Source organism: Homo sapiens, chromosome 3, assembly GCF_000001405.40.
Source record: "Homo sapiens chromosome 3, GRCh38.p14 Primary Assembly".
Lineage (NCBI taxonomy): Eukaryota > Metazoa > Chordata > Mammalia > Primates > Hominidae > Homo > Homo sapiens.
The window spans coordinates 140,212,082-140,224,653 of NC_000003.12; the positions used below are offsets into that span (position 1 = coordinate 140,212,082).

At 41.2% G+C, this 12,572-nt stretch overlaps 1 protein-coding gene across 2 annotated transcripts in view; it reads left to right on the top strand.

The window, feature by feature from the left end:
• Positions 1-12,572, top strand: part of CLSTN2 (calsyntenin 2) — a 642,213-nt gene that overhangs the window by 276,897 nt on the left and 352,744 nt on the right. The window lies entirely within an intron of this gene.

Genomic DNA, 12,572 nt, shown 5'->3' on the forward strand with positions numbered 1-12,572 from the left:
TCAAACACATTTGCACCAAATGCTGACTCCACTGAATCCAAGGCATGATAGTTCAGTTCCTCGGGAACACAACAGGTGCTTGCTGTGAGCATTTCCTGAATGAGCAGTCATTTACACTCGACTATCTGGTGCATTATGTTTATAATTTTTAACAAAGATTTACCTTCTGGATTTGTGTTGGATCTGTCCAGTGTTAAAATGAGTTTACAGCCCTAGGGGAGCTGGTGACTGATGACAGAAAGGCAGCCATCAGTGTCCTGTGCAAGAATGGAAAATCGGTTTGGGGTAACATTTTTCATTTGCCACTGGTAATCCACAAGGTAATTAATCTGCATATAGATAATTACCAGTTGATTCTGTTATACCTCTTTGAAATCAAGACTGTGTATTTGTAAGTAGAATGCCTATAGGCCCTGTTCTGAGAACCACCCAAAGCCTCTCAGCCTTTAGCTAGCCTGAGATTGCTTAGTCTCATTTGCTTATAATCCTTCAATGGCTCCCCTCTGCTTTTAGGCTAAAGTCTAAAGTTTGTAACCTGGCCCATAAGGCCCTTTATTGTCTGTATCCTCCTATATCTCTTGTTTCACCTTTCACAGGTCCTCCTACCTCCCACTAGCTCTAACAAACTCATTTGATTTTCTCAAATAGGCCATGTTTCTGTTCACTCTAGATCTTGCCACATATTGTCGCTTATGCCTGAAATTCTAATCCCCCACCATAAGACCCACCAGGCCTCAGCCCTCAGGCTCTGGACACCCATCCCTGTGCTCCATGCCTGAGCTGTGTGCCCCCTCACAGTGCCCTTCATTCCCTGTTGTGATTGCTGGCTCTCTAGCATAGGCTCCTTGAGGGAAGGTGCAGTCTGTCTTCCCACCACACCCTGTCTCTTTACAGAGTGTCTGATTCCCAGGAGGAGCCTGATGGATATTGGCAAATAAATGAACCCATCATCAAGCAATTAAACTTCAAATAACTTCATAGCCATTAGCACTTTTCCTTTCATTTTTAATACCAGAAGTAATATATGAACATGTTCTCCTTGTTTAAGCAAAAAAGGAAGAAAAGAAACAGCAGATGAAGTTAAACTCCTCTCTGACTACCACCTTCAGTCCCAGGATCCTTCCCTAGATTTAGTATTATTTTTTGTAACATGTGTGTGTGTTGTGTGTGTGTGTCGTTTGTGGTGTGTTTGCATGTTTGTATTCATGTACCCACATATTACCCAAAGAAAATATGTGATATGATATGGAAATATCCAGGACTAGGCAGGGGTAGGGAAGCAATAAAAAGATCCTGAGAGTCCCTGGACAATACCAGTGAGCACAGGTTGCATAGGGCATAATCCTTCCACCTGCCTATTGCTTGGCATGAGCTGTGGCAGGAGCTAGTCCTAAGGAAGCTGAGAACCCAGGCCTTCTCTGCTGATTCTTAGCAGAGTAAAGTGAGGAGCACATGGCCCACAGGCCTGGGAAGAGATACAGGCCCAGAGCTGCCCAAGAAGCAGAGCTGAATGCTGTGCTGAGGAGTAGCAATTGGTGGACAGGGTCCCCTCCTCTGTGCTACATTTAGGAGGATGCCTGGTTTTAGCCTCATTCATCTATTCTAGGTCTGACCGTGTGATGGGGAGAATGCAGGGCCCCTTGGTTAGCGAGGAGGTTAGCAAGATGGTGGAGTCTCACTTTTCTTTGCAGAAGGTCAACATGGCCTTGTGTATTGGCTTCAGTAAGATTGGGGCTCGAATCCAGCCCTGCTCTGTATCAGTGAGATACAGAGTTGTAAGCAACAGAAAAACACCCAAGCTGACTGAAGTAGAAGAGGATTTGCTGGAGGGATATGAGAGCAGAGGGAGCTTACAGGCCTTGTAGGAGGTTGAACACTTAGGTTTAATTTCTATCCTTGAGCTAATCCATTCAATATTCAGTGATCAGAAAAGTTTAATTGGCCCAGCAGCTTAGTTTATAGTTCTAAAGTAAAATAAACAGCAATGAGTACAAGGTATCCCCAAGTCAACTCTACTAGATTTGTCTTAGATAGGGTTATCCGAGCCTCAACTTCCTTATCTATAAAAAAAAAATAGGCTAGGCATGGTGGCTCACGCCTGTAATCCCAGCACTTTGGGTGGCTGAGGCAGACGGATCACTTGAGGTCAAGAGTTCAAAACCAGCTTGGCCAATATGGTGAAACCCCATCTCTACTGAAAATACAAAAAAAATAGCTGGGTGTGGTGCTGGGTGTGGTGCTGCGTGCCTGTAGTCCCAGCTACTCGGGAGGCTGGGGCAGGAAAATCGCTTAAACCTGAGAAGTGGAGGTTGTAGTGAACCAAAATCATGCCATTGCACTCCAGCCTGGGCCTTGCAGTGAGACTCTGTCTTAAAAAAAAAGAATAGGTCCACTTTGAAGGGGTTTTTAAAGTACCTAGCATGAGTAGGTGATCAGTATTCTTCAGCTTCAAAATGTCCCAGGGACTAGAGCCAGAGTGTGCATCATCTCCAAGTAACCTGGTCACACTAACTCCCTTTCCCAACATCTTTCTAACACATCTTCACTACTTGCAGACTTTCAGTAAAGAATCCCCTAATTATTTAAATAGCATCTCCAAGGATTGCTTCTAGAGATCTAGGGGAAATTCCCACACCAAGTCATTGCTCATGTGGCAGACAGCTTTGAGAACAGGGAAAATACAGCATAGGGGAAGAAATTCAGTAACGGCATAATTTAATGAAAGCAATCTTTCTTTGACTGTCTGAAACCTTATCTGTTTTCTTACACTTTGGAAAAGCGTAGGTGCCATATATTTTTGAAGTCTTTATACAACATAATAAATTTAGACTATTATATGCACGTTAATCATAATGCATCAAATTTTTATCAAGCAACCAAAATAACTAACACTTATGGATTCTGCATTATAATGTAAATCTAGGGCAAGGGGATGAATATTTTAGTAACTGCACTTCTTGCAAGGAGAGAACTTGATCCCCTGGTAGAAATAGGAGGTGGGAAGATTCTCTTTTCTGCCTTTACTCTGATGTATGACTGGTAGGTTTTACAATAGGAAAAGCCTGTGGCTTTGCCGTCTTTCTCTCCTCTTCATCTTCTTGCCTTGACTTTTTTTCTTACTCTTCTCTTGGCCCCTTTTCCCTCATACACTTTCTCCCTCTCTTCCTCTTCAATCCTTCTCTCCTCCCATTTCCCCTTACTTGTGTTTTATATGGCAATACCCACCTATCCCTGGGCCTAATGGGATATGGCAGGCTCATTCTTTGGAATAAAACAGTTTCTTTGGTAAAACATAAAGAGCACATAGAACAAAAGGCAGATAACTCGTTCACAAACACACTTTAACTGTAGCAATTTATCTGTCCTTTTTTCCCATGATAGTTGTTTCTGTGCAGAAGTTTTGGAGAAAGAACCATTGGATAGGGGGTTGGAAATGAATGAGAATTCCTGCTTGGCTTTTGACTAGCTATGTAATCTTGGAGAAACCTGAGACTCCTTGCTTATTTAAGAATTTAGCACAATGCCAGGCATACAGTAAACATTCAGTAGGTGGAGAGAGTCAGTAGAGTATAGCAATAGTGGAGAGAGTCAGTAGAGCATAGCAATAATCATGCACAAGTAACTTACCCTCCCTGTGTTTCAGCTTCCTTATCTTTAAAAATCACAGTAATAGTGCCACCTTTCAAACCGCATTGTTATAAGGATTAAATGTGTTAATTCATATAAAATGCTTAAAACAGTGCTTGACATATGGTGAGTACTCAATATGTATTATCTAATATAAAGTAGGTGTATTAGTTTGGGTTTTGTTAAGAAAGTGGAAACACTAGGTATTTCAAACAAAAAGGGATCTCACAGAGGGAATTAGAGCAGGGGTCCCCAACCCCTGGGGCCTCGGGCCATTACTGGTCCATGGCCTGTTAGGAACTGCACGGGACAGCAGGAGGTGAGCAGGGGGTGGGTGAGCATTATCGCCTGAGCGCCACTTCCTGCCAGATCAGCATTAGATTCTCATAGGCGCATGAACCCTATTGTGAACCGTGCATGTGAGGGATCTAGGCTGTAAGCTCCTTATGAGAATCTAATGCCTGATGATCTGAGGTGGAACTGTTTCATCCCGAAACAACCCGCCTCCCACCCCCATCCATGGAAAAATTATCTTCCATGAAACCGGTCCCTAGTGCCCAAAACATTGGCGACCACGAATTAGAGGATACAAGATCTTTAGAGAAGCAGAAGGGATGAAGGAAAGGAAAAGCCACCACTAGTTCAGGAGGTGAGGAAGTACAGCACTAACGTGGGGGCTTCTCAGGAGGATGCCCAAATGTCGCTGGCCTCATTCCACTGTCTACCCTCTGCTGGAGGGCAGAGGAATTGCTTCCCACTACTGCTTCTGGAGCAATGAGTGCTCTGCTTCTCCTCCCCTTTAAGCTTTTCCACGTGTGCCTCTTTGCTGTGACTCTTACAAAAATTAAAAAACCAAACCTCTCAGTTGCTGATTAGAATGCTAGGAAATTTGGTTCTTGGGTGTTGAGACCCTGTGATTTAAGGGAAAGCATAGAGAAGAGAAAATGGTGCCTGGTTGTCCAAAATCAGACGGAAGGGAAATAATACTAGGAGCTGATGTGAAGATTATATGAGATGTAAAGTGCAAAAGCATTTTGTAAACTTCCAAGTTTTGTACAGATATTAGGTTTTGGTGGTAATGGATGTGAAATAGGAAGAATATACTCAGACAAGACCAGGCAGAAAAACCTGGGAAACTACAGTGAAAGGAGGTCCCACAGATAATCTGACATATTTAATTGACCATATGCCAGGCTCTGTCATAAATGCCTTACATATACTAACTCATAGTCCTTATAAAAACCCATGCAGTAGACATGGTTACTATACCCATTTTACAGATGAGAGAACAGTGGTCCAGAGAAGTGAAGTAACTTAACCAAGATCACGCTGCTGAAATGATCAGGGTACAATCTGAATCCCAGTGATGTGACTCCAGGGTGCAGTTTTTTTAACTCCCACATTCTTGTGGAAGGAGAGGATACACACGCCCAAATCTTCTGACTTTACAGTTTCCCTAGGAGTTTGCTCTGGCTGTAGCTGAGGGTCGGTTACATCTACCAGTGTAGTTTCACATCCTTAGAGAACAGTTTATTTTTAAAAGCACAGGTTTATTTCACTCTTCTAGAAGCAATTTTGTGCCAAAGTTGGGGATGTTTTCTCCTACCAAGAAGAATTTGACAAGGTAACTAAGCACCTATGGTCCTGAATGGCTGCCCAAGGAGCTGTAACCTGTAACCTGCCCCCAAGAACTAGCTTTTCTTGTAGAATTTATCTTCATTCAACCCACAATGAACCTGCTCCATGGTTTTCCGAGATCCAGGAAAAACTGGTTATCATTCAACATCACCACATAAAAAAGTTTTGTTAATTACTGTGTTCATGACAAAAATAGGAAAATGTATTAAGCAAAATAATCCTTGTTTAATATGATGATTACGATAGTCTCTGTACCTTTTTAAGATCTGGAGGAAATAGAAATGGTTGCTGTCTTGAGAAAGGGTTGACGTCCTAGGATTTGTGGCATATATGACACATTTCTTCTAATAACCTTCCCTTCCCTTTGGTTTTCTCCCAGTCAGCTGCTTCTAGAGCAAAGGGGGACATATTTGCCTTAGAAAACCAGAACACTATTGTTGGGCAAGAAAATGAAACTATTCAAAAAATGCCAGGTGCAGAGGAAGCATGGAAGTTATGAGTTTAAATTTTAAAGGTTCTCTACAGCAGAAAAGAAGGAAGAAACCAAACCTAATTTCCTTCAGCTCAGAAGCACATTAGCAATTCATGTGGCCCTGAAATGAACTGTATCCCCACTCAAAACCTTAATTTGATGACTCAATATACATGAACTGATCCATTTATGAGCAGCAGGATGACCAGGCATAGGACCCTGTGGTCCTTTTCTAAGAATTTATCAAAAGGATGGAACTCAGGAAGTAAAACAAAACTGAATGTTGATGAGAAAATGTAATGGCTATCATTTTTTCAAACATAATATTTTATATTATTAAGCTCCTGTCAGCAGAAATTTCCCAATTCTTGTAAGAAAATGATTAGCTTGATTCGCTGAGAGATTCTGGTATTTAGAAATAAAACTCTCCCGAGCCACTGCATTTGCTTTTGTTTTGCTTGTATTAATCTCTCTGCTATGCAAGTAAAGATGCAACCTTACCTATCCCTTAGTTGCAAAGCTGTTTGGGATCTTGGGTGGTGTTTCTGCCATAATCCAGGCACTAAAAAGCTTTTGCTCACTTATTATTATCCTTACTTCTTGAGCTGAAAAGATCCATCCCAGGACAAAGCAGGAAGTGAAAGAAAGTGAGATAGCAGGTTGTCATTAGAAGCAGCACCCAGTCAATCATGGCTTTATTGGAATGTTGTGACCCCCTGTTGTTAGATAGTCTGATTTTCAAGAGGAACCTAAGTAGATACATTAAAAAAAACCTTCCTGATTTTTACATATCAGCAACTAGTTCAAATTTTTAAAAATACTGAGTACGTCAAGCAAGCATAGCTTTGGACCAATTAAGCTCTCAGGAACTTTCTCCTCAAGAAGCTTTCAAGATAGATGGCAGCTTTATAAAATAACTAAAGCCCCATGAAACCTGGAGCGAAGTTAGTGTTTGGGACACAATTTGTTGAGGGAAATGATGACTTGGATTTGTTTCTAATAACAGAGTATGTGGAATCCCCCAGGGGGACAAGAATATAGAAGCAGCTTTCACAAATGTGGTCATGTGAGGCAGGATTAAAAAGTGGTAGACAGACAGCAGAGGGGAACGTAACCTGAATGGAGAGGAATCTCCAAATGGTGGTGTCTGATTCATACACGAGGTTGTTATAGGTGTCACGTGAAGCTGTTTTGTTTTGTTTTTAATAATTGGGAATTTAATGCAACTAGGGCATCAACTCCATCCACGCCCTGGTCCATTTGGGAGCATTCCTGCAGTTCATGTATCATGTATCCAAACAAAAGGCTCGAACTGCAGGAATACATGATACATGAACTGCAGGAATGTTGGAGACATGTGTGCCTGCTGCATTTATTTCTAAAGAGTGAGGTGCATAGCCTTCCATAAAGAGTAGGGAAGAGGGTGCAGAGGGCCTCACATGTGCAGCCAAGGACTTTAAAGTTTCTCATCTTATCAAAGACCTTCTCTGACCTGCCTTCCCTGAGAGCAGGCAGGGAACCTCTGGGCTCACACATTAGTTGCGCGTGAGTGAGTTTTAATTAAAGCCCAGGGCTTTAAAAGCTCCAGATTTCCCGCAGGTAACCTTTCAAACCACAGTTCCTTAAATCGGAGAATTCAAAGCTCCTTAAGAAAACAAGATGGCATTTTATCTGGGAGCGATCTTGTTTCCGGAGTTCTTTTCTTCTTGATGTATTTTTAATGTTTTGTGGTTGCTGCTCGTCATTCGGAGCGAGTGTATCTTGCTGTCCTAGAGACTGGTAAATACAGTGGGAGGCCTCCTCTCCACTGCCACCCTCCCTCAGTGATTGCGCCCAGCCCTTCCAGGCAGCGCTGCAGATTCAGCTGTGGAATTGGAGACAGCAGGGCCTCCTGCATAACCACTTAGCAAGGTAAGTCCCCAAGAAGGCAATTCCTTAGACGCTTTGCTTCTTTCAAGCATTTTGTTTGGTGTTGGCACCTCTCTGTGGATGTGCTATGTAAAATAGTGGGGCACAGCATCATCGCTATCATACCTACCTCTTACTCAGTAAGAGAGGCCTTACTGAGTACTCTCTCTTTTCTGTACTGTTTGAAGAGCTTTGGGCATATTTCCTCATTCCATATCACTTCAACCCCAGGAGGAATATCCCCATTTTACAGATGGAGAAATGGAAGAAGAACTGGCTTAGGTTATATTGTCAACAACCATAAATGGCAGAGCCTGGGTTCAAATCTAGACAGGCTCTGGATGCTGTACTCTGAACTGCTATGCTATACTGCCTCTACTGCTTTTCCTGCAGTCAGCAAAATAACGTCTCAATGAAAACAATCAAATGCTTTCAGTCTCAGCACTAGTGCAAATTGGGCTGTCATAGATTGGAGGACTTCTCAAGGTCTTTAGTCTTTTCTGCTCACAGTGCCTCCTGGTGGAGATCATCCACCTTCCAATGCCATGGCATAATGATCTCAATCCTATATATGTCAGTATTGTGATGTATTTGGTCACTAGCCTGTAATGCTGGTGGGGGCAGAGAGTGCAAGTTCCAAGGATAATAGAATTGTGGGCATTAGCAGGACCATTATTTGGAATTTGGCCTGTCGTCTTCCTTCTTGAGCCCCATGGTTAGTTTATAGTTTCCACTTTCAGTCTTAAGTTGGTCTAGATGCCTTTAGCTTCAGAACCAGGCATCCTTGCCTGGGCAGCATAGCAAGCACATCCACCATGTCTGTTATTATTACCTGAATAACTCATGAAGGAGATTCTGGATGCTTTCAGAGGCACATTTGCCAAGAGACATTTCCATTCAATCAGTAGAAATATCTTCAAATTCTAAAGATAATGTGAGTGGATTGGCACCTGCTTCCATGATGCTTTCTATCTAATTAAAAGTCCAAAAGCAAACATCCATGAACTTAGTGAAGAGAAAGAACAGAACAAGACTGAATATCATTTTGTGCTGATTTGTGATGGGGACAGGGCAGTTTTCATGCAGAGAAGGAAAGGAGAGTGAAACTCATAGATGCCTCTATGTGCCCGGGACTGTGTTCCCAGTGCTTTTGCCTACACTGTGTCCTGGGCTTCTCAGTTAGGTGGTGAGTTAAACATTGTTATCTGTATTAATATATACTGCAACTGGAGCCCTGACTTCCATGGACCACCCACCATTGTCAGGCTCAGCCGACAGGCTGGAGACTCATAGACAAGGTCTAGGCAGAAACATTCTGCTGCTGAAATAGCAGAATAATATTCTGGTTATTATTTTTTAGTCACTGTACAGTCAGCCAGGAGCAAAGCTCAGGGGACCCTGGTAGAGAGGGCATTTTCCCCAGTATAGACACAGCAACCCATTGCAGGGGTATCAGTGAGACAGGTCAACAATCTTTTATCCAAATTTCATAAAACTCTGAAAACAGAAAGTGTTTTTCTAAGTTTAATGCCAAAACTCATTTGGTAAAAAAATTATTTATCTTACTTAATGTGAACGTGTCTATGTTTAGATGTGGAAATAATATTTTTGATTATGGGGTGTTGCCCTCAACTTTGCAGAGGGTGCTACATAATATAAATTACACACACCATATTACATTTTTAAATTCTAAAAAAAAAAGTGACTTGTGGAACATATCTGGCTACAATGACTTTGGATAATGAAATGTAGACCAGGAATAGCAATAGTGGCAGTTAACACTTCTATACCAGGAAACAAACAACAAAGTGAAGAGAGCCCACAGAATGGGAGAAAATTATTTGCAAACTATCTATCTGACAAGGGGATTAATAACCAGAATATATAAGGAGCTCAAATGACTCTATCGAAACAAATGTAGTAATCTGACTTAAAAATGGGCAAAAAATATGAATAGACATTTCTCAAAAGAAGACACATAAATGGTAAACAGGTATGTGAAAAGGTGCTCAACATCATTGATCATCAGAGAAATGCAAATCAAAACTACAATGAGGTAGCATCTCACTCCAGTTAAAATGACTTATATCCAAAAGCCAAGCAAGGATGTGGAGAAAAGGGAATCCTTATACACTATTGGTGGGAAAGTAAATTAGTACAAGTACTATGGCAAACAGTTTGGAGGTTCCTCCAAAAATTAAAAATAGAGCTACCATATGATACAGCAGTCCAACTACTGGATATATTCCCCAAAGAAAGGAAATCAGTATATCAGAGAGATGTCTGTTTTGCCATATTTATTGTGGTGCTATTCACAATAGCCAAGATTTGGAAGCAACCTAGATGTCCACCGAGAGATGAATGGATGAAGAAAATGTGGCACATATACAAAACGGGGTGCTGGTCAGCCATAAAACGAATGAGATCCTGCCATTTGCAATAACATGGATGGAACTGGAGGTCATTATGTTAAATGAAACAAGCTAGGCAGAGAAAGACAAACATTGCATGTTCTCACTTATTAGTAAGAGCTAAAAATTAAAAGAACTCATGGACATAGAGAGTAGAAGAATGGTTACAAGCGGCTGGGAAGGGTAGTGAGGGATGGGGGTGGAAGGGAGGTGGGGATAGTTAATTCGTACAAAAAGAAAAACTTAGAAAGAATCAATAAGGCCTAGTATTTGATAGCACAACAGGGTGAGTATAGTCAATAATTTAATTGTATATTTTAAAATAACTGAAAAAAATATAATTGGATTGTTACACAAAGGATAAATGCTTGAGGAATTGACATCCCATTTTCCATGATGTGATTATTATGCATTGCATGCTTATATCAAAACATCTCATGAAACCTGTAAATATATATACCTACTATGTACCCACAAAAATTAAAAATGAAAAACTTTTTAAAAGAATGAATAGAACCTAGTATTTGCTAACACAGCAGGGTGACTATGTCCAAAATAATTTAATTATACATCTTAAAGTAACTAAAATTATAATTGGATTGTTTGTAACACAAAGGATATCCCACTACCCTGATGTGATTATTACACATTATATGCCTGTATCAAAATATGTCATGTGACCTGTAAATATAGACACCTACTACACACCCATAGAAATTGAAAATTAAAATTTTAAGAAAAAAAAAAAAAACACTGCTATGCCAGGCCTTACTCCTAAATGCCTTATATCTTTCTATCTTTTCATCTTTGCCCAATCTTAAATAAATGTCCTCATTTTTATCCCAGTTGTAGATATGGGGAAACTGAAACCCAGAGATACAACACTTGGTGTTGTAGAGTTAAGAATCAGACCCAGACAATCTGGCTTGAAAGCTTGTCTTCTTAACCATGTCCCATACTGAATTGAGATAATGTTGATTAAGAAATGTCTTTCTCACTCACCCAGATGGCCCTGTTCACTTGGGCCAGAAGCAACATCTTACCTGGAGATAGCAACAAGTCTCCATCTTTGGCTCAAGCACAAATCACAGGAGAAATCATCAACTGGAGAAAGGAAAAGTTTGTTATGATTGTGGTGCAACCCTAATAACATCAACAGTTTATTCACGCTGCACAGGCTGCTTTTCCTCAAGGCAGGGCAATGCCTAGCTAAGTCTTTGTTGAGAGGGCTTGCAAAGCAAAGCAGCCACCTCCCAGCACCTGGACCAGCCCCTTGTGAGGCCTGGAGCTTGTTGCCAGCCCTTGGAGGGAGCTAAAGGGGGTCCTTGGGTACTGGGGCACTCATTCTGCATGCTCCGAGAGATGCACTTCCAGTTTCCGAAGAAGGATCCTAGAATGCTTTTTTGCACCCGGCTTTTTACCCTATCATCATTCATTTTCCTAGGCAGTTTTGTTGTTTCCTTTCTTCTGCAATGCCGGGTAGATGTCTCTCACAGACAAGCTAGAAATGCTGAGAGCTTCTGATACTCTGTTTCCTGTGCCTCTGTCTACTGTGCTAAAATAAATACTTCTAACTTCCTTTTTGGAAACCATAGCAATTATTTCATTGCTTTGAAGACCTTCATACTCCTGGTCCCCACCCTGCAACATGGATTCCTGTGGCTGCTTTCTTCCAAATGCTACAGTGCTCAGTGTTGACTTTTTCAAGATGACTCACATGTAACTTAATGAGGATCAAGTCAAATATTTCAGGTGACTCGTGTTCTTGGTGATGCTGCAGTTCCCACAGGAGTGTGTGCCGTCCTCTGTAGTGAAGAAGGTTCTAGACATGTGTTTTCTCTCCAGAGAACTCTGGAAGGCTGCATCCAGAGGTGAATTAGCCCTGGGAAATGGGATATTTTGGTGAGGCCACTTAGGCTAATACCCTTACAGTATAGTGAGTGGTCCCCGGGTATGTTTTGAATTCATATATTTATTTATCCATTACTTCCTAGAAGCAATAAAGTGGAACAGTTACCAGCATTGGCTTTGCAGTCATATCCATCTAGATTCAAGCCCCAGCCTGGCCCCCTCCTATTTGTGTGACCAATGGCGAATCATTTAACCATTGTAATCCTCCACTTTCTCATCTACAGAAGACAGTAACGATAGAACTCAGTTCTTGGGATCATTTTGAAAGTCAAACAAGATAATGACAGAAAAAGTTTACAGTAATTTCTGGAACTCAATAAATATTCTGGTTATTATTTTTTAGTCATTTAGCTAGTGTTTATTGAGTAGTTAATATGAGCAGGGACTGTCCTAGACAGTGAAGACACATCAGGGAACATAATGAGGAGCCCTGCCAGCATGGAGTTTATATTATGTGTTCATGTGCGTGCAGGCTTTATAGACATGAAGCAAGCAGATCAAAGTCCTCAAAGTGTGACCCACAGAACTTTAGTCTGGTTGAAGCATCACAAAAAGTCAGGTTCCTTGGTCAAATAGGTTATAAAAATTTTATTATAATCATATAA